The 24,265-nt window shown below is 35.9% G+C and overlaps 1 protein-coding gene across 30 annotated transcripts in view; it reads right to left on the bottom strand.

Moving 5' to 3' along the window:
* MBD5 (methyl-CpG binding domain protein 5) overlaps nt 1-24,265 on the bottom strand; it is a 496,045-nt gene that overhangs the window by 159,448 nt on the left and 312,332 nt on the right. For 28 of the 30 annotated variants that reach the window (XM_047445056.1, XM_011511472.3, XM_047445068.1 and 25 more), the window contains one exon: nt 15,188-15,310. The gene's annotated coding sequence lies outside the window, so the exon portion shown is untranslated. Of the gene's footprint in view, nt 1-15,187; nt 15,311-16,497; nt 22,972-24,265 lie in introns of those variants that run through there. The other 2 variants (XM_047445080.1, XM_047445093.1) reach the window with 1 other exon arrangement.

Genomic DNA, 24,265 nt, shown 5'->3' with positions numbered 1-24,265 from the left:
AATTTTAAAAGGCCTACACCTAGACATATCAGGAATTGCAAAATACCAAGAAAAAAAAAAAAGAGTAAATCCTAAAAGCCAGAAGAAAAAAGCAGATGACCTACAAAGGACAAAAATGAATGTCTGAAGAGAGTGGAGCATCACCTTCCAAATTCAGAGGGAAGATTTGTAATCTAGAGTCCCAGATAAACTAGAATTAAGATGGCAAGCAATTAAAATGGATAGTAATTGCTTCTCCTCACCACAGTCTTTAAAGGTGTGCCTTTTCTATAACTTTCAACATGATGAATTGTGAAGACTATTATAAAAAACAGTTAGGAAAGTGGTACAAAATGTCAATTTTAAACAGTGTCTCATGTAGAGTAGGTGGCCAAAAATAGCACCTTTTAAATGTGTTTTCTCCTTTTCTAATGTGGATGCATACACTCACTACTTCTCTCCTTTCCCCCAGACCTGTAAGGCTCTGCCCCTAGGCTTGCATCTTCTAATGTTAGAACCTGGATAACTTGTGAGTATAAAATAAGAAAAAATTCAAACATAAAAATTTAAAAAATTGATTATCCATATACTTGTTCTTAGGAGTTGCTAAGGGATACGCTTCATCACAGCAGAATTAAAAAAAAAGAAAAGAAAAGAGAAAAAATGTGGGTTGAAATAGCACCATCCAGAAGATCAGGAAAGGGGAGTCTCAGGATGACAGTTGTGCAGCCAGAGGATGTCAAGACTCTGGAAGAGCAGTTCCCAAGGAAAAGGGGGAAGAAAAGGAAAGAGATACACCAGAATGTTTTATATAATGGAGAGTTGGAAAGAACTGGGAATATCATAAAGAAAAATGATACAAGAAAAACAAAAGGGAATTAGAAATTCTAAGAAAACGGAAAAATTGCTTAAGAAAATATAACCAAAGAAGAATACTTGGCACTGTAATTAATCACTAATTAAATTAATACTTATTTAGTGTCAGCTGGTTATATAGCATTGTTTTAGCTACTAGGAATACAGTAATGATGGGGAAAGTAATGAATTAAAAAATGGATTAAATTAGTTAGAACAGATTCTCTCCCTTCTTGAAGCTTACAGTCCAGTGGGGGAGAGTGACAGTAGTTTTAAAAATTAAGAAAATTAAAATATATAATGTGTATTAACAACGTGAGCTATGAAGAAAAAAAATAAGGAAACCAGAGCAAAAATTCCAGGCATGGGAAGTTGCTATTTAAAATAAGTATGGCAAGGGAGGCCCTACTGATCAGCTGCCATTATCGTCAAGAATTTAAGAAAAAGAGGGATTAAATTGTCATCTCAGTGAATTTATGTTGCAGGTAGAGGGAACACCAAATGCAAAAGCCCTTTTCACACAATAATGTACATGGTTAATTATGGTTGCAAAATAATAATAACAGACAAGCAAAGAGCCAAATCATGAGCAAACTCTAATTCACAATTGCTACAAAGAGAATAAAATACTTAGGAATACAACTTACAAGGGATGTTAAGGACCTCTTCAAGTAGAACTACAAACCACTGCTCAAGAGAGTGAGAGAGGACACAAACAAATGGAAAAACATTCCATACTCATAGATAGGAAAAACCAATATTGTGAAAATGGCCATACTGCCCAAAGTACTTTATAGATTCAATGCTATTGCAAAGTACTTTATAGATTCAATACTATTCAAATGCTATTCCCACCAAGCTACCATTGACTTTCTTCACAGAATTAGAAAAAACTACTTTAAATTTCATATGAAATGTAAAAAGAGCCTGTATAGCCAAGACAATCCTTAGCAAAAACAACAAAGCTGGAGGCATCACACTACTGGACTTCAAACTATATTACAAGGCTACAGTAATGAAAACAGCATGGTACTGGTACCAAAACAGATATATAGACCAATGGAACAGAACAGAGACCTCAGAAATAATATCACACATCTACAACCATCAGATCTTTGACAAAACTGGCAAAAACAAGCAATGGGGAAAGGATCCCCTATTTAATAATGCTGTTGGGAAAACTGGCTAGCCATATGCAGAAAACAGAAACTGGATCCCTTCCTTACACCTTATACAAAAATGAACTCAAGATGAATTAAAGACTTAAATGTAAAACCTAAAACTATAAAAACCCTAGAAGAAAACCCGGGCAATACCATTCAGGATATAGGCAGGGACAAAGACTTCATGACTAAAACACCAAAAGCAATGGCAAAAAAAAAAAAAAGCCAAAATCGACAAATGGGATCTAATTAAACTAAAGAGCTTCTGCATAGCAAAAGAAACTATCATCAGAATGAACAGACCACCTACAGAATGGGAGAAAATTTTTGCAATCTACCCATCTGACAAAGGTCTAATATCCAGCATCTACAAGGAACTTAAAAAAATTTACAAGAAAAAAAACAAACAACCCCATCAAAAAGTGGGCAAAGGATATGAACAGACACTTCTCAAAAGAAGACATTTATATGGCCAACAAACATATGAAAAAATGCGCATCATCATTGGTCATTAGAGAAATGCAAATCAAAACCACAATGATATACCATCTCACACCAGTTAGAATGGCAATTATGAAAAAGTCCATCAAAAAGTGAGCAAAGGATATGAACAGACACTTCTCAAAAGAAGACATTTATGCAGCCAACAAACGTATGAAAAAAAGCTTACAGAGAAATGCAAATCAAAATCACAATGAGATACCATCTCACACCAGTTAGAATGGCAATTATTAAAAACTCGGGAAACAACAGATGCTGGTGAGGCTGTGGAGAAATAGGAATGCTTTTACATGTTGGTGGGAGTGTAAATTAGTTCAACCACTGTGGAAGACAGTGTGGTGATTCCTCAAGGAGCTAGAATTGGAAATGCCATTTGACCCAGCAATCCCATTACTGGGTATACACCCAAAGGATTATAAATCATTCTACTATAAAGACACATGTACATGTATGTTTATTGCAGCACTATTCGCAATAGCAAAGACCTGGAACCAACCCAAATGTCCATCAGTGATAGACTGGATAAAGAAAATGTGGCAAATATACACCCTGGAATACTATGCAGCCATAAAAAATGATGAGTTCATGTCCTTTGCAGGGACATGGATGAAGCTGGAAGCCATCATTCTCAGCAAACTAACACAAGAACAGAAGACCAAACACCACATGTTCTCACTCATAAGTGTGAGTTGAACAATGAGAACACATGGACACAGGGAGGGGAACATCACACACTGGGGCCTGTTGGTGGGGGGTGGAGGGCAAGGGGAGGGAGAGCATTAGGACAATTATCTAATGCATGCAGGGCTTAAAACCTAGATGATGGGTTGATAGGTGCAGCAAACCACCATGGCACATGTATACCTATGTAGCATATCTGCATGTTCTGCACATGTATTCCAGAACTTAAAGTAAAATAAAAAAATTTTTTTAAAAGATGTAACTGGCATTAATTTTAGAAATGCAAAAATGAAAGACCTGATAATGAAATCAGGAAGAAGAAGAGTTGAAGGAGAAGGTGGGTGTACTAATATCCTCATCTGATGAGGGCAATCACAAAGAAGTATCTATAGCGAATGGGACAAAAAAAGAAAGGTATTATAGTTACAACAGAGAAACTAAAAATAGAGATAAAACTAAATAAAGGATGGGCATGGTGGCTAACAGCTGTAATCCCAGAATTCTGGGAGGCTGAGGTGGGCAGATCACTTGAGGTTAGGAGTTTGAGATCAGCCTGGGCAACATGGTGAAACCCTGGCTCTACAAAAAATACAAAAATTAGCTGTACCTGCTGGCACACACCTGTAGTCTAAGGTACTTGGGAGGCTGAGGTGGGAGGATCACTTGAGCTTGGGAGGCGGAAGTTGCAATGAGCCACAATTATGCTACTATACTCCAACCTGGGTGATAGAGTGAGACCATGTCTCAAAACAACAACAACAAACTAAATGCTGAATGATAGAGACAGGAAAGGTGGAGGTAGGGTTGGGTGAGTGAGTATATAATGCTTCCTTTATGTGTTTGTGTGCGTGTTGTTAATATATGATGTCTAAAAAATGATTAACAAAAATTTTCAAGTGGAAGCAAATTACTTTTACCTGAAAAAATAGAGATACGTATCAAAGGAAAAGTGGAAAGAGAAGCGAGGCTTACATGGGAAAATTTGGGCCAAAGGACCATTTATTTTAACCATGCGCATGTTTTAATCTGATTTAAACACACACATCTGCTCACATATACACCCTTCAGAGGTTTTCCATCACTCTTAGGATAAAGGTCAGAATCCCAAATACAACCTCTATAAAAATTTAATTATACTAAATACTTGTGACACAAAAGTGTTTTTTTATCTCTCATGTTAAAAGCAGAACCTTTAATGTACACAAAAACCCTCAGTGCCCTTTTTTACTAAAGTAATATTTTATTGGAAACTATAGCTCTTCTCTCCATCAGTATATAAATTTTATTTCTCTATCCTCAGGAGATATTGTACTAAATTGTGAATAGTATCATGGAATTTCCCAAGTCTTTTGAGTAAAATTTTACATATGCTTTCTCCAGAAACATGACAGTTTTGATTTCTCAAAAAATCCTTGGGTAGATAGAATATAAAATTTTACATGCTATTATATGTGATCAATATCTGATTAGTTTTTATGTTATCACTTCAAAAGAAGGCAATACCTTATTAGGGTCTTCTGCAGGGTTTGATAATGCAAATATTCCAAAACTTCCAAAAATCTGAAATCTGAAACACTTTTGGTTCCAAGCATTCCATAAGAGGTATACTTAGCCTGCACTACTAAGCAATAAAAAGGAACAAACTACTGATACACTCAGTAACCTGCATGAATCTCCAGAAAATTATGCTGAGTGAAAATAGTCAATCCCCAAAGTTTATATACCATGTGATTCTACTCATAAAATATTTTTTCAAATGACATTATAGGAATGGAGAATAGATTAATGAGTTGTGAGGAGTTAAGAAACAGGTGGTGAGGGAAGGGAAATGGGTGTGGTATAAAAGAGCAACATGAGGGACCCTTGTGGTGATGGAAATGTTCTTTATCTTGGCTGTATCAATGTCACTAACTTGTTTGTTATATTGTACTATAATTTGACAGATACTACCATTGGGGGAAATTGGGTAAAGAGTACACCATATGTCTGTATTATTTTCTGCAACTGCATGTGAATATATAATTATTTCAAAATAAAAAGTTTAATTTGGAAAAAAAGCTGGTACGTATTATAAAAATATGAATTGTTCTCCATTGGTGGCAAGGAGGTGGGGTGATGGTAATTCAGGCCTTCAAGCAAAGGAGGAGAGATACATGGAGAGGGAGATGGCTTTATCAAGCTACTTTTATAACAAAGCTACTTTGTCCAGAGCCTTCCTCTGCTTTGGAAGAGCAAGAAAACTGAGAACTAGTCAAGCAAAGATACACAAATCTTTTTAAGGTCCCACTCATTAGGGTTTGACTCCAAAAGTTACCCAAGCTCCTCTCATTTCTGTGGATACCAAACCTGCCAGTATCCAACGACAACCTCAAAAGGAAGCCAGACAGGGTACAAAGGGCAGAGAGGATCTCTACACTAAACACATAGGTTGCAGAACCAAGAGTCAGAGATTATACTTTTAGACTTCAATGCCAGGATCATCTGTTATCTGACATGAAGGACATGAAGGGTAGAGAGAAGCAGCAATAAACACCCCAATTCTTACATAGCAGAACCTTGGGAGGCACTCTTCACTGAGAAGGAAAACACATATTGGCAGCAAGTGTGGGATTAGGGTCCAGGTGCTTTTACTTGAAAGGGTTTCAGACATCAGGAATATTTATCTTTTGTCTATTCTTACAACGTTATTCCTTAAGAACTTACCAGATTGATGACTCATCAGTTCTACTCATAGAGAAATAAAAATATATAAATACACTAATATTGTACACAAGTGTGTGCAGCAGCATTACTTATAGTAGCCAAAAAGTGGAAACAACCCAAATGTCCATCAGCTGATGAATGGATAAATAAAATATGGTATGTACATACAATGGAATATTATTTAGCAATAAAAAGAGATGATGTACTGATTCCTGTACAGTATGGATGAACCTTAAAATTATTATATTAAGTAAATCAAGCCGGTCACAAAAGGCCACATATTTTATGATCACATTTATCTGAAATGTCTAGAGCAGGCAAATCCACAGAGGCAGTAGATTAGTGGTTGCCTGCCTGGGACTGGGGGATTTGTGGAAAAAGTGAATACCAGTGTTTATAGGATTTCTTTTTGGAGTGATGAAAATGCTCTGAAATTAACTGTGACGATGGGTGCACAACCCCAAATTGTAAAAAATATTAAATTGTATATTTGAAATGAAAAAAAGTCCTTGGATTAAATAGAATATAAAATTTCATGTGTTATTATATGTGATGAATATCTGATTAGTTTTTAAGGTATTAAAAACTAAAAGAAAGCAATACCTTGAGGTCTTCTGTTAAGGTTTGCTAGTGAATGTAATAGCTCATCATAGGAAATTGGAAAATATTGCATAATAACTAATGGCAGTAAGAGTTCACAATATTGTCAGTTGTGGTTCTTATTCAATGAGGAAAGAACAAAGTCAGCCTCAACTAGAAAAAGAATAGCATTGCATATAAAAAGAGATAAAAGAGACTTAAATATGATAATCAGTAAGAAATTGTGTCTCACTATCAACTGAAGCAGACAGTTACTGGAAGAACAGGGAAAGGACTGCAATGCTCAATCCTAGAAACAAAGCAAAAATGGGAAGTTTTAGCAGGATAGATGCTAAGAAATAATATATTTTACATCCCATGCAAGAAAAACTGAAAGGTCTCATTAAGGAAATTTGTAGCCTGATTTTACTCTAGCTTATCCCCTGGTTTTCAGAGACCATTGCATTCTAAACTTATTTTTGCACTTATAAAAATTATTTTGATTTTTCCAGTAAAAGCTGGCTTATAAAAACTGTATTGCAAAATTCTGAGTTTACTGAACTATTGCCCACTATCACTGCATTTCCTATCCCCTTTAATGACTAGATATCCAGTTGCATGAATTATGCAATGTAATCCTTAGGCATTTTTGTTATCAGAATATCTTTTTATAAATGAATAAAGAAGGCCAGCACTCAGAACACATTGACTGTTGCTGTAGGTTTTAATGCTTAGTGCAGCTGCTATGTAATGGTGCACATGAATTAAACAAAAAATGAAGTCATGAGGGCAGAAGAACGGATGTTCAAAAATGAATTTGCAAGTTTAGTTCTAAATAGCAATCACAATTTTAGCTTGAGGCTTTTCTGGGGGATAGTGAATAATGATTAGGTGAGATTACAGGCCCCAAGCAAGGCCTGAGGACATTGGTGCTCCTAGCCAGTCATTTATCCTCAAAAAATTGTCCTTAGGTTATGGGGGCATTGTTTGAAATACCAGGAAGAATCAAACCTGTGTCTGTCACTTTATCCCAAGGGTCTTCTCAGGATTCCGAAGCTCCAGTGTTAAGATAAATGTTTACCTAAACAAAAGCCTTGGTAGGCTTTTACTGTTACCTTATGTTATTTTTACTGTTCTGGGTTTATATTTTTATTTACCTGCAGAAGGAATTACATGTGAAAATTGTAACCCCAAAATCACTACTGAAATTGTGTTCTACTATGTTAGGTGTGTATTCAATGGAAGTAATATAAGATTTAAGAGAACAAATTTTCTCTCTCATTTTTATTAGATTTTCATGGCAAATTTGTATTTCAGAGAATTGTGACTTATTGTATATTGCCAAAAATATTCTTTTAGCCAGATCTAAACATGCAAAATTATGAACTGGTTAGTGTGGCTATTTTGAAAGCTCTGAAGTCTTGAATTCATGGCTAATTATGTATTTTTATTTACCAGAACCTCAGTTTCCTGCTGTCATATTAATGCTGTTTTCTTCTCCGTCATTAACACGTTGTGACTTAAGTTGTGTGAATGACACCCACTTTTTAAAAACATATTTACATAATAAATAGTAAAGGGGGGAATTTAACAAACCAAAACATTTACTTATCTCACTCAATTTACAGAGTAATGATGATGATAATAATAAAAATATAAGTGCAGTAGTAACAATCTGATGATATGAAGGAGAATAGGCTTTAAATAGGGCTTACTGTATACCAACACTATTCTGACTCATATATTAATTCATAACTCCATCATTAGCCATTATCCCCATTTTACAAATGGGAAACTGAGTCAATAAGAGACTCAATGAGATTAAATAGCATTGGTAAATCTAGGATCAGAAAATTGGACTAAAATGTACCCCACTTACAGAAACCTAGAATTTAGCGTAGCGCTTTTTAACTACTGAGACCTTTTTTTTACCCTTTGAAATCTATTCTTCTATTTTCCTTGATAAAACATAAAATCTCATGATTTCTATTTCATTTTTAGAATAAATTAAATATAATAAAATAAATCAAAGCAAAAATATAGGGCTTGGATGTTTTTTAAGCTACCCTTCCTTCCTCCTGTTTCTAGTTGAGCCTGACTAGTTCGAAATGGTATTAGTTCTGTTAATTCAGCAAATAATTATTGAAGCCCTACTATTTGTCAAACATTATTCCAGGGGCTGTTATGTACATTGAAAGCAAACCAGTTCTGAACTGTGAGCAAGATAGGAAAACTGGACAACTTTCTGGTGACTTCTAAAGTCTCCCCAAAACGTAAAATCCAAGTTCGAATGCAAGAACAAAAAACCCACAACAGAGCCATGTGGATATTTCTCACAATGTTGGAATGTCTACACCAGCAACCCCTTCTGTTAACACAAATAAAAACAATTGAATCTACTTACACTGAAATTCTTATTAGGATTATTTCTCACTGTCATGTTAGCTATTACTTAGTATGTTTAGATTTGCAAGACTACTCTCAAAAAATTTCTTAATTATTCCAAGACACCAAGCCTATAATTTATGTAGCAGCAATTTATTCGGTGTGACTTCATTGAATGGCCACTGTGGAACAAAATTAGCCAGGGCATATAAACCTTTATTTGAAAATACTGAATATGAGAAGGCTTCAAAGGTGTATTCTAATTTAAAGTGAGTTGAAATGTATAGGAGGATCAGCCAAAGTCTGACTAGTTTGAGGAAGAGTTAACCAGGGATAGTTCTTGCAAGAGGGAGGAATTGTCCTTGCTGATTTGTACCCACTGTTTGGGCAATCTAGATTTTATCAAGAGGGAAGGAGAGGAACAGGTACGGGCTAAAGTTGTGTGCAAAAAGGTATGGGGAGGAACAACCACTGGATACAAGGGCATAAGAGAGTCACAGTGAAAGATGATCAGTCCTTCAGGGTCTAATATCACTGCATACAAGGCATTGTGCTTTGTGCTGGGGATATAGTGTTAAACAAGGTAGGCTCAGTTCCTGATTTCTTTAAACACAGCATTATACAATTACTTATTTTATTTCCATCGTACAAGGTGATGGGCTTGCATATTTCAGGGGATTTCACATAATCTGGAAGAATCAGACAAAGCTTCCCTGAAGAAGGGGCATTTTCATTGAAACCTGAGGGATGAGTAGGATTCTACTAGTAAAAGTGGCATTGGGGGGTAGGGTAGGCAAGAGCTGCATTATCATTTTTATGGGCCCTAGGTACTTCTGCCATCATGGGCCCCTTTCAGCATAAAAAATAAAACTAAAAATCATATTTTGCAACTTACATGGTAAAAAGATGAATATGTTAGTTAATACTGTATACTGAAATGTTTTCTTTTACCTAGAAGTCCTTTGTTTTCTTATTTTAAAATAAATTTAAACATTTTTGTGGACCCCTTAAAATTTTGTGAACCCTAGGCACTGCGCTTACTGTGCCTTTTGGATAAGTCGGCACTGGAGGTGGGGAAGTTTGGGGCAAGAACATTTTGGATAGAGAGAATAGCATATAGAGAAGTTTCTAGGGGCTTACTTGCTCAGGGAATTAAAAGGCTAGAGCAGGGAGTGTAGGAGAGGATGGCATAAGGGAGGCTGGTGAGGCATGCCATATTAAAATAATTAAATTCTTATAGAGGCCATTTTAAAATAGTAAATTAAATAACAATAATCTTAGCTAATGCTGATTTTCTTTTTTAAAGACAAGATCTCACTCTGTTGCCCAGACTGGAGTGCAATGGTGCAGTCATGGCTCACTATAGCCTCAAAACTCCTTGGCTCAAGCCATTCGCCCGCTTCAGCCTCTGAATAGCTAGAATTATAGGCACACATCACCATGCCCAGTTAATTTTTCTTTTCAGAGACAGGGTCTATGTTGCCCAGGCTTAATGCTGATGTTTGATATAACATAAGTATATTGTAGTGGAAGTCAGTGATTTCAGCCAAACTATGGCAGATGTAAAACATGGGTTAGGCAAAATTCCATCTAAAGTTAGTATATACACTGAAATAGTAACAGAGAAAATCATATAATGCCTGGGATTTGCTTCAGAATAATACAGGGGGTATAAATGAAACAAGATTGGCCATGAATTCTCAATTAATGAAGCCAGATTTGAGGTACATTGGGGTTCATTTTATTATCCTGTCAACTCCTCTGTTTCTGACTTTCTATAATAGTTTTTTTTTAAAATAAAGCCAAGGTACAAAGAAACATCAAAACCCAAAAGCCATGAAAAAGATGATAGATTTAAGCTCATAAAAATGATAGCATTATATAACAAAAATAAAGCACACAAAACATTAAAAATAAAAAAGAAGACATAATTGTGATATATATGATTTATAGATTTAATATTCTTAATATGATTATGATTCTTATCAGTCTACATAAAATTCAAAGACCCCTCCACAAGAAAAATTTGGCATGGCTCATGAATGGGACATTCATAAAAGAACTTAAAATTCAAATAAAAATATAAAAAGATACTCATGCTCAGTAGTAATCACACAAATGAAAATTAAAATGCCATATACTTTTATTGTATCAGGTTTTGTAAAAAATAAAGTTAATGTCAAATGTTGACAAAACTATAGAGAAAGTGACATTCTCATTCTTTCAAACACTGTTGGTAGAAATGTAAACTGGTATAATCTTTCAATTTATTTACTATTTGATCTACCGATTCCATTTTTAAGAATATATCATAATCTAGCATTTTCAAAGTGTGTAGTGGGATATTGACAGATGTTATTTGTGTTTGTGTAAGTCTAAACTTAATTTTAAATGTAAATTTATAAAATGTCATTTAAAAAATTTCCCTTTTAAAGTTTTTCCATTTCTTCTTCCTCTTCCTCTTCCTCTTCTTCTTCTTCTTCTTCTTTTCAAATAGAGTTTATTTTTCAGAGCAGTTTTAGTTTCATAGCAAAATGGAGTGGAAAGTACAGAGACTCCCATATACCCCTTGCTTCCTGTGATGGTTAATACTGAGTATCAACTTGACTGGATTGAAGGATACAAATTATTAATCCTGGGTGTGTCTGTGTGGGTGCTGCCAAAAGAGATTAACATTTGAGTCAGTGGGCTGGGGAAGGCACGTCCACCCTTAATCTGAATGGGCAAAATCTAATCAGCTTCCAGCAAATGTAAAGCAGGCAGATAAATGTGAAAAGGAGAGACAGGCCTAGCCTCCAGCCTACATCTTTCTCCTGTGCTGGATGCTTCCTGCCCTCGAACATTGGACTCCAAGTTCTTCAGTTTTGAGACTCATACTGGCTCTCCTTGCTCCTCAGCTTGCAGACAGCCTACTGTGGGACCTTGTGATCCTGTAAGTTAATGCTTAATAAACTTCCATATATATATAATATATATAATACATATATACACACACATACATTTATATATGTATATACATATGTATATGTATACGTGTATATACATATGTATGTGTATACGTGTATATACATATGTATGTGTATACGTGTATATACATATGTATGTGTATACGTGTATATACATATGTATGTGTATATGTGTATATACATATGTATGTGTATATACATATGTATATGTATGTGTATATACATATGTATATGTATGTGTATATACATATGTATATGTGTATGTGTATATACATATGTATATGTGTATATATGTATATGTATATGTGTATATATGTATATGTATATGTGTATATGTGTATATGTATATGTGTATATGTGTATATGTATATGTGTATATACATATATATATATATGTGTGTGTATATATACCCAAAACACTGCTAGGAATCATAGACAATAGAAACAAATATATATGCGCATGTGTATGTGTGGGTATATATATGTGTGTGTGTATATATACATATATACGTATATACACACACACACACATATATATATCCTATTAGTTCTGTCCCTCTAAAAGAACCCTCACTAATACAACTCCAAACTGCCTCCCCCATTATCAACATCTTGAAGACATACGTTATCTTAAGAATGCATTCCATGGTTAAATAAGTTTGATTTCTACAACCTTGGTATACGGTAATACTATACACTAGGACATATATCTCTAAGATGGTGAATAAGTCTTTCCTTAGGTTATATGTCATGGAACCCTTCCATCAGAGAAAATGTTTAGGTGCTAAAGTTCTATAACACTTACTTTTAGAGATTCTCTTAAAAAATCATCAGATATGAATACATATCACTTAAGTCATGTTTCCATATATTTAATAAAAGGAAGGTGGTTACATGATTCATGTTATAACCTTTAATTGGAATTTAAGGTGGATGATATTTACTGGCATAAAAATTGCTGCAATAGGATGATATGATTCTATACCTTGAAAACACTAAAGACTCCACCAAAAGGCTCCTGGAAGTGATAAATGACTTCAGCAAAGTTTCAGTATACAAAAAGCAGTAGCATTTCTGTACACCAATAATGTTCAAGCTGAAAGCCAAATGAAGAACATAATCCCATTTACAATAGTCACACACACATTCACAAACCTGGGAATACATCTAACTAAGGAGGTGAAAGATGTCTGTCTACAAGGAGAACTACAAAACACTGCTAGGAATCACAGACGACACAAACAAATGAAAAAACATTACATGCTCATGGATTGGAAGAATCGATATTTTTAAAAGGGCCATACTGCCCAAAGCAATCTACAGATTAAACGCTATTGCTATCAAACTACCAATGTCATTTTTCACAGAATTGGAAAAAAACTGTTCTAAAATTCATATGGAACCAAAAAAGAGCCTGAAGAGACAACGCAAATCCAAAGCAAAAAGAACAAATCTGAAAGCATTACATTACCCAACTTCAAACTATACTATAATGCTTCTGTAACTAAAAGAGCATGGTACTGGTATAAAAACAGATGCATAGATCAATGGAACAGAATAAAGAACCCAGAAATAAAGTCACACACCTACAGCCATCTAATCTTTGACAAAGTTGACAAAATTAAGCAATGGGGAAAGGACTCCCTATTCAATACATGGTGATGGAATAGCTTGGTAGCCACATGCAGTGCAGAAGAATGAAATTGGACCACTACCTTTCACTATATACAAAAATTAACTAAAAATGGATTAAAGATTTCAATGTAAGAACTCAAACTATAAGAATGGTAGAAGAAAACCCAGTAAACACCGTTCTGGACATGGGCCTTAGGAAAGAATTTATGACTAAGTTCTCAAAAGCAATTGCAACAAAAACAAAAATTGGCAATTGGGACCTAATTAAACTAAATAGCTTCTGCACAGCGAAAGAAATTATCAACAAAGTAAACAGACAATCCACAGAAATTATCAACAGAGTAAATAGACAATCCACAGAATGGGTGAAAATATTTGCAAACTATGCAACCAACAATTGTCTTATATCCAGAATCTATAAGGAACTTAAACAATTGAACAAGCAAAAAACCAACAGCCCCATTAAAAATTGGGCAAAAGACATGAACAGACACTTTTCAAAAGAAGATATACAAGAGGCCAACAAACATAAGAAAAAGTGCTTATTATCACTAATCATCAGAGAAATGCAAATCAAAACCATAATTAGATACCTTCTCATACCAGTCAGAATGGCTATTATTAAAAAGTCAAAAAACAACAGATGTTGGTGAGGCTGTGGAGAAAAGGGAACGCTTACATACTGTTGGCGGGAATGTAAATTAGTTCAGCCACTGTGGAAAGCAGTTTGGAGATTTCTTAAAGAACTTAAAACAGAATTACCATTCAACCCAGTAATCACATTACTTGGTACATATCCAAAAGCAAACAAATTGTTCTCCCAAAAAGACACATGCATTCACAATATTAAGCACTATTCTTCATAGTAAAGATTCCATAATCTACGTAGGTGCCCATCAGTGGTGGACTGGATAAAGAAAATGTGGTACATATACACCATGGAATATCATGCAGCCATAAAAAAGGAATGAACTCATGTTCTCTGCAGCAACATGATGTAGCTGGAGGCCATTATCCTAAGATAATTAACACAGGAACAGAAAACCAAATATCGCATGTTCTCACACATAAGTGGGAGCTAAACATCAGGTACTCATGGCCATAAAGATAGCAACAATAGACAACAGGGACTACTAGAGGGGAAAGGGTGGAAGGGGGAGCAAGAGTTGAAAAACTGACTGCTAGGCACTATGCTCAGTACCTGCATGAGGAGATCATTTATACCACAAACTTCAGCATCATGCAGTATACCCAGTTAACAAATCTGCACATGTACCCCCTGAATCTAAAATAAAAGTTGAGGAGAAAAAAATAAATTTTTTTTAAAAAGGCTGAAATAAACCACTAAGTAAAAGAAGCAGAGCAGGGAAACACCATTTAAGCCCTATGGTGTCTAGTCATAATTATTGTAACTATATAAATCCACATATTATACATAATACACATATATAAAAATAAATTCAGGAAGATATAACAAAATATGAAGAATAGTTACCTGAAGGTGGTAGGATAACTATATTTTTCTGTATTACATTCTTTTTTTTAAAAAATAGTAAACATGTATTCATTTTCCAATAGAAATAATTTTTAGAGGCAACGTGTTTAAGCATCCTAACTTTGGAGAAATACAGCATTTCAATCTATAGATGTCAGACACTTCCCATATTTAATAAAAACTAAGTCTGCAGACAAAAACTATAATTGTATGAAGAATCTATGAAGAGAAACCATGATGCCTACCTTCTGGAGAGAAGTGATGAAAACATAACAAGCGTTGTGTGTGACTCAGCAGTGTAATGGAGGCAGTTAATTTCCAGATGCTCTATGTCTTTACGAGTCCCTATAAGGGAGTACCTCTTCTCTCTGGAACAGAAATAACATGAGTCCGCACATTTATTTAAAGGCTTGTTTTCAAAATCATTAACAGTATTGTTGGCATTTTTTCACTTCCAAACATCAATAAGTCTTTGCCAAAGAACTAGAGAGAATCAAGGTATTAGTATCTTCATCCTTCAGAAATACTATGATTAACTACCAGAAATAATTAAAGCAAATGTTCTATACTTTATTTTCATATGTTTAATAATATAATCAGAAGAAACATATTTAATAAATTAAAAATTATTGATAAAAATAGTAGTATAATTTTGTATATCTACTATCTACCCAGACACAATGCTAGATCCTTTATATCTCATTTAATTCTCTCAACATCTTTTTATTTGATATTTATTCAACAATATTTATTGCTCTGTGCCAGGTACTGCGGGAAGCACTGGAGATATAATGGTGATCACTATAATGATACAAGACAGTCATTAACATTCCCACTTTAAAATGTGGTAATTGAGGCTTTGGGATTTAATATTAAATAGTCTAACTTCAAACCTACTCTTTCTATTATAGCCCAATTAAAAGAAGTTTGCCAGTCTTATCACCGTCACCACTAAAAACAAAAATAAACTCCAAACCTTTTAAGTTAAAATGGAAAATACCAAAAAATACCAAAAAATCCCCAACAACTCAACTAAATGTAGTATAAAATATATACAAAATATCTCTATATAGCCTTTATAATTGGCAATATCACCTAATTTAATCCTCACTTAATCTCATGATATAGGTGTTAGTATTACCATTTTGTAGATGAGAACACTGTCTTAGAAACATTCAGCTTAAATCTGGGTCGGCCTAATTCTAATGCTTAAAAATCTCAAAAAGAGAACAAGAAAAAAAAAAACTTACATTAAAATGGAGAAAGCAACAAAGAAGTAAGAAAAACAACTCATTTAAGCAGCCTGATGTATGCACACACATACAAAACACACACAGTATCACACACCTATATGGATTGTGGTACTGCCATTCAATAAACACCCATCATTATCTGGCAAAACAGTATTGGGGTGGGAGGAGGATGACAGGGGAAAGCAACTATCTAGGAGGAGAAGCTGAATGAAAATCATCCTCAAACACAGATTGTAGCTATACAGGCCACTTACTTTCAAGTGGGGTCTCACAGAAAAATAGCAGGAAATATTACCACTCACTTGCTTAGACCTTAGGAAAGTTACTTATCTTCTCTGGGCCACAGCTTCCTATCTGTAAATGACAACAATAACAGTATCTAACTAATAGAGGTGTTATAAGGATTAACATTCACAAAGCACTTAAAGTATCAGTTTCAATAATAAATGCTATGTGTGTGTGTGTGTGTGTGTGTGTGTGTGTGTGTGTGTATGTGTGGTTTAAAATAAATATCTGAGTGGGGTTAATTATATTAATAGAGCCCCTTCATGGAGCATATTACTCACAGTTATATTTTGTCTGTTAACATCTCAAATAATCCTCACTTCAATCCTATGAGGTATATATTATTGCCACCTGGCTTTTAGCTTCAAAAGGCAGAAACTTGATTTTATCAACTCCCTCAATCATTAGAAACTTATCAACTTAAAAGGGAAATTTTTTTGTTGTTCCAAAATGATAGCCAATGAATTGGATAAAACACTACATATCGATATCAAGTCTATCTTGAGTACCAAACCGCTAAGAAATTACTTCATTACTGTAAAATTAAAACATGGAGAATTAAAAACTCAAATTAGACCTCCCATCAAGCCATAGTAGTCTACTGTGTTAAAAATTTCCTTTTACATGATATCATACCTTGAGAAGGCATACCATCACCAATGTAATGTTTTTGCAAAGAATATTTAGCCTAAATTTAACAATAAAAAATTTCAGAAATATTCAAACTAAAGTGATATCTTGCAAACAACTGGCCCAGGGCAATCAAAAATGTCAATGAGATTAGAGTCCAAAGGCTAGAATTTGATGGGAATAGACAAGTAATTTGTTTACCTTCTGGCATGAAGGTATTGGGAAGCCTCATAGAGATTTGAAATTTCACTTGAGAACCCTGGCTTGTCCTAAGGACTAAAGTTTGTTAGTTTGTGAAGGATTTTAAAGAGTTTTTAGGCAGAATGGAAGGAGTTGCTGAGAATAAACAGCCAGGAAATAAAGGATTCTGAAGGGAGAGAGGGACCCAAATCAGTGTTGAGATGTTGGTGAGTAGAAGAACTGATACAGAGAAAAAAGGGAAGGAGAAAAAAATCTGAACCCTGGAAATTATACAGCCTCTGGGAATTACACAGCAGGTATAGTTATGCACAAGACAATCTGCTGATGTGGGGAGGAAATATCAGTACTTACCTGTTTTCTATAAAAATAAAAAAGCTTTAGTAATGTTTATATAGATTAACACTAGTACCTTTAAAATATATTTTTATTGAGGATAGACAATAAATTTATTTATTTATTTATTTTTTGTATAGAGTATGTGACCAAAATGGTGATCGTCATTTGTAGGAACGAAAGAAAGACTTTTAGGTGTTGGCAGGTACTAGGATATTTGTCCCTGCTCTTAGGGGTGAGGGAGAAAGTACAGTGCTTGGATGGCCTTCTGCTCAGGGGCCAGTGTTGACTGTGTGTTGTACTGTTGTTAATCTGGAGGCATGATGTGTTCTGAAGCTCATGTGAAAATGAGAGATGAGTTCATTGAGATTCATCAAACTCTGCTCCATTTTCTTGCTTATTTATACAGAAATAAATGATACTTTGAGAAGAAATGTGGAAAACATAGTCAGAGATGATGAAAATTCCTGGGTGAGAAACTTGAAGGACTTGAGGGCAAAGGGAGGCCACTCACTTTGGAGACTTGAGGGCCACTCACTTTGGCCCATGTGGGTGAAAGAAAGCTGGGAAAGGGGAAGAACAGCCTACCATATCCTTTTTGTGAAAAAAACAAGATTTTTTTAGATCATGTATTGAGATGGTAGTGAGGAATGTGTTTCATCCAGAGGAAGACATGGCAGAAAAGGGGATGGAAGCACCTCTGCCTTCAGAATGCTATGTATGTCCGGTGCCAAGAATGAGCTTGAGATTTTAACACAGTCATCACAGAGACCTGATAGGCACGAGGCATCTGTCCTCCTTCACACTGTGGTGTCTATATCCAACCTGTGATCTGTCTCCTGTCCCCATCATCCCCAACTTTAGCTTCTCTCCACGTTGTCACGAGTGCCTGCTCAAAAGTCCTCACTGGGTCCTGTCTACGGAATCCAGCCCATTGGCAAGGTTTGGTCAGCCCAAATTTGAATGTCTTTAGGCAGAACTCATACAATTCAGTTTGCCACAGGTCTATCATTTCACATCATATGTTTGTGTTTGTTTTCTGCCTGTCCCTTAAAGCTTTTGAATTCTCAAACACAGGATGAAGTCCAGATTCATTGGCCCAGCATACAAAGGCCTGTTCCTGTGTGTTTCTCCTGACTCATGTCTCATGGTAATATCCTCAGAGGTGACTCAGATCTCTAAACTGTGTGCTTTGCAAAAACATAAAAAGTAATACACATATTTTGCTCATATGATGATCTCTGCTTTCCCTTTTTTGTCTGCTTATCTTTCAAGTTAGCTGAAATGTCATTTCCCCACTGACATGTCTTTCCTGAATCTTTGAGAGAGGACAGGTATCTTCCTCTTTTGTGCTCCTTCTGCACTTTATACGGTCTTTATTGTAGTATTTATAACATTTTACTGATTATTATGTACAAATACCTAGAACCTGACACCATGCCTGCCATTTCATAGGTGGCCAATAAATGTTTTTGAATGAGTTAAAAAATGTCAACAACATGACAGACACATAAGGCTGGGAATTTTTTTTTTTAGATTAAAGGAGATTAAGCAAATATAACCACTAAATACAATGTATGAACCTTGACTGGACCTCAGATCAGGAGGAAAAAGATAGCTATAATTAATGGACAACTGGGAAATTTTAAATATTGATTTAAAGAATCTCTATCAAAAACACATTTAAAACTATCTCAGGTAATTTATTCCTTTAGAAAAATTATTCACTCATACATTTATAATAATATTAAATATCTATTCAGTGTAATAACCCTGCAGGTAAAAATTCTTGTAAGTAACAGAACCTGAAAAATTCTTGTAAGTAAAATGTAGACTTGGCTTGGCCAAGAGGGTCAGGTGAAGGGTAGTGAGGACCCCTCTATCTCAGTCTGGCAAGTTAGCAAAATAACTAAACTATCATCTGCTACATTTCAGGACTCAGACCATCTGCCTACTGAAGTATTTCCCTTCTAATTGAAGGGAAAAATTCAGACTGTTGGAGCAGGTTGGCTGCTTTATGCAGCCTTCAGTAAAGTCCTACAAGAAAGAGTGGAAGGTCAGGAAGCAGTGAAGGAAAAAAAGATACCTTTGCCAATAAAGCTACTTTTTATCTGTGTCTGAGAATAGGAGATCTGGACATTAGCAAGAGTGAAGAAGCCAAATTACAAATGCTTTATAATTATCTGGTATCTATTTTTTTTAATAGGTTATTCACATGACATAGAATTTTAAAGATATAAAAAGGGAGTAAAAAATCTCTCTCAGTCTTGTCCCTCAGCCATCTGTCTCTTCATTCCCCAGAGGCAACCCCCATTACCACTTTCATACATCCTTCCAGAGATGTTCAATGCATTGCCATGCTACACATAAATTTCCACAAATGAAGCAGGTTATGCATACTGTTCTATACCTTGCTTTCTTCGTGTAAGATGTTTTGTCAACTGATCATATCAGGACATATAAAGCTGCCTTATTATTTTAAGAGCATCATTGTATAAAGCTTACATGATAAAAACCATAAAGTAGACAAGAATGCAAGAGGATATAACCATTTTCTTTTATATAAAGAATATGGCCATATTCTTTATGTAAAAACATACCACTAAAAACCTAGAGTACCACTAAAAACATAGAGTACACAAGAATGCAAGAGAATATAATAGATGTTTTCTCATGCAAATAAATAAGGTACGGGCTACTAGGCAGGAAAGAGTTTGGAGGGGCTGTGATTAAGGTAACTGAGCACTGGGTACCAAAGACAAAGGCTAAGAAAGGTAGTTGGGAAGATTTGTCTGAAGACATTTTTGAATCCTAAACATTCCATTGTATTGTGGCAGAGCATGTGAAAAGTTATTGAAGCTTCCATCATGCGAGGGGTGCAAAAGTGGCTAAGACTAAGCTGGAAGACATAAAGGAGACTGGGGTTTGAAGGGTAAGGAATACATGGTTCTCACAATTGGAAATTACAGCAAGGACCATGGCAGTGGATCCAGTATATGAAGTCCAGAGGCCAAGCAAGCGGAACTGACATAAGTAGATGCTGGCACATGGTACCAAAAGGCCAAGGGCCAAGCAGTTACTCAACAGAGGCCAGCAAGAACAGAAAAGAATATGCAAACCCATAAGTGTTGACGATGCCTCAGGATATGTCAGTCTCCCTCAGGAACTTGAGGAAGAGTGAAAGGGAAGAAGAGGCCAGGTATGGTGGCTCATGTCTGTAATCCCAGCACTTTGGAAGGCTGAGGTGGGAGAACTGCTTGAGTCCAGGAGTTCCACACAAGCCTAGGTGACATGGCAAAACCCCATCTCTACCAAAAATACAAAAATTTGCCGCGTGTGGTGGTGCATGCTGGTAGTCCCAGCTACAAGGGAGGCTGACATGGAAGGATGGTTTGAGCCCAGGAGGTGGAGGTTGCAGCGAGCCAGAATTGAGCCTTTGTACTCCTGTGTGGGCAACAGAGCCATATCCTGTCTCAAAAGAAAAGAAAGAAAAGAAGAGTAGAAGGGATACAAATAGGAGATAGGGGTAGAATCTTAGTTTAAAACTGAAATTAATTTTAATTCAGAAATGACCAAGTAACTTCAAATTTATCTGTGGAAATGTTATTGGTGGGGGTACCAGGAAAAGACACTGAGATCAATCAATTTTTTGATATAGGCAAACAATGTTTTACAGATTTAAGATCAATAACTACAAAACTTAAACTTACATAGCCAGCTCTTAGGGGTGTTAGAAGGATTCAATGACATAGGTGTGAGAAAATAGAATGGTGGATTTTCTGATTGCAATTTCTGATAGTGACCTTTCTTTGACTTTTCTCCAAGTTTTGGGACCTTTATTGCAGTCCCATATGTGGAAACCACACATGCCATCTTATCTTACACAGACTCAGTTCCAAAGAGCATTAACTTTGAAATAAATGAATCTTGAATTTGAATTCGACTTTTGTCATGCACTAGCTGTATGAATTTGGGGAAATAACTTATTTGAATCTTTGAGTCTTCATCCATAAAATATAGAAGTCAAAAATCATTTCATACATGTATTATGTAAGACAATAAAATATACAAAGCAAATTGTCTGGCTCATGGTGGGTGGACCTATCTTCTTTCTCTAAAGTTTATTTATTTATTATTATTTTATTATTATTATTATTCTTTAAGACAGGGTCTCACTCTGTCACCTAGCCTGGAGAGCAGTGGTGCGATCATGGCTCACTGCAACTTTGACCTCTGGGCTCAAGTGATCCTCCCACTTCAGGCTCCTGAGTAGCCATGACCACAGGTGAGAGCCACCACACTCAGCTAATTGTGTTTATTTTTGGTAGAGAAGAGGGCTCGCTATGTTGCCCAAGCTGGTCTCATACTCCTGGGTTCAAGCCATCCTCCTGCCTCCGCCTCCTAAAGTGCTAGGATTACAGGTGTGAGCCCCATGCTCAGCCTTTCCTTAAAGTTTAAACTATGTTGCCTAGCTTTTAAAATTAATTAATTAATGTTCTGAGACAGGGTCTTGCTCTGTTGCCTAGGCTGGAGTGTGGCGGTGGGATCTCGGCTCACTGCAATCTCTGCCTCCCAGGCTCAAGCCACCCTCTCACCTAAGCCTCCTGAGTAGCTGGGACTACAGGCATGTGCCACCACACCTGGATAATTTTTGTAGAGATGGGGGTCTCACTTTGTTGCCCAGGCTTGTCTTGAACTCCTGAGCTCAAGTGATCTGCCTGCCTTGGCCTATCAAAGTGCTAGGATTACAGGCATGAGCTACTGCACCCGGTCAGTTGCCTAGCTTTTGACTTGGAATATTTGATCATCTTATCATATGTCCTAACTAAAAGAGATTAAGCTCTACATATATTAAATAATATATGACTACTAGTTATTGTTCCTGGGTTTACTGAGTAATAAACACCCTTACATGCAGTGAAGCAAGCATTTAAATATATAAGCATTTAAATATAAAATATAGGATACATAAACAGAAATCTCCTCAAGTCTTACCCTGAGACTGAGTACAAGGGTTGGATATACAATTTCCCACTTTCTCCACATAGATATTGGCATTTCAAAAGATATTTGCCTCAAATCCAACAAATGTTAAAAAGAAGAAACTTCACAACAGATAAGAAAAATCAACAGTATCTATTATTCATAAAGATGGTAGATTGAACATATGCACTTAACTCTATCCCTTTCCAAAACCAAACTAAAATATAATTTTATCTTAAGTATTTTATTAAAAAGCAAAAACAAGGCTGGGCACAATGGTAATGTCTGTAATCCTAGTGCTTTGGCAAATCAAGGCAAGGGGATCACTTGAGACCAGGAGCTTGAGGTCAGCCTGGGCAACATAGCAAGACCTTGCCTCTATAAAATATTAAAAAAAGGAGTCAGGCTTAGTGGCGCACACATGTAGTCTCAACTGCTTGGGGGACTAAGGCAGGAGGATCACTTGAGCCCAAGAGTTCCAGGTTGTAATGAGCTATGTTAGCACCACTGCACTACAGCCCAGTGACAGAATGAGACCTTGTCTCTTAAAAAAAAAACAAAACAAATAAGAAAAAGGAGAATGAGAGATGAGTGACAGTAACCACAGTTTGGAAGCTAGAAAGCAGGACTATTGCTAACTGACTTAGCAGACCCAAGCAAGCTGGTTTCTAAACCAGCAGTTGGTAATGATAAGCTAGGCAGCAATTTTGTACTACAATTTCCAAAAGACTTAGGAATTGGTGACAGCCAGTGCTTACGGAAGTGAGATAAAGATGAGACTATGAACAAACTTGGTTAGAAATTTATTTAAGAATTAGATACTTTCTTTAGAGGAATAAAAGAATAGGTGGCAAAAGTAAATAAATAAATAAACAAAAAAAAGAAGAAACTAAAAAGAATTATATACTTTCTAATTAACTGCCACCATTCACAACTGGCCAAGTACTTTTCCCTCTCTCATTCTAGCAGAAGACTAAAAGTTCATTCTTTGGTGTGAATAAAATAGGAGGTTCTTGAACTGGGGAATTTTTTTGTTTTTGAGATGGGGTCTTGCTCTGTTGTCCAGGCTGGAGTGCAGTGGTGTGATCTCAGCTCACTGCAACCTCCACCTCCTGGGCTCAAGTGATCCTCCCACCTCAGCCTCCCAAGTAGCTGGGACCAAAGACACATGCCACCTTACCTGGCTAATTTTTGTATTTATTTATTTTTTTTTTTTCAGCAGAGACAGGGTTTCACCATGTTGGCTGGGCTGATCTTGAACTCTTGACCTCAAGTGATCCACCTGCCTCGGCCTCCCAAAGTGCTGGGATTATAGGTGTGAGCCACCGTGCCCAGCCTTGAACTGGGGAATTTTGAAGGGTACTCTACTGAAAAGAGGAAAACTGAATGAAATTTTATTTGCTGAATATTGAGACTCTAAGTCCTCTTTTACTTGGTTCACACAATGCTAGCAGCCCATCTTATAGTCTCTAGGTAGGAAAGTGGAAGAAGATTCTTCTTTGGTGAATCTAACAGGCCCAAAAGAAAGATATTCAATAAAACAATATTAGGTTCCTGGATAAAACAGCAGTCAGATCTAGGAAATTCATAGTCATTAAGCCCCAATTACATGTTATCGAGGTATCCACATTTTTACTT

Source organism: Homo sapiens, chromosome 2 (assembly GCF_000001405.40).
Source record: "Homo sapiens chromosome 2, GRCh38.p14 Primary Assembly".
NCBI classification, from domain to species: domain Eukaryota; kingdom Metazoa; phylum Chordata; class Mammalia; order Primates; family Hominidae; genus Homo; species Homo sapiens.
Note: the sequence above shows the minus strand (reverse complement) of the source record. Positions and strands in the feature narration are given on the sequence as shown.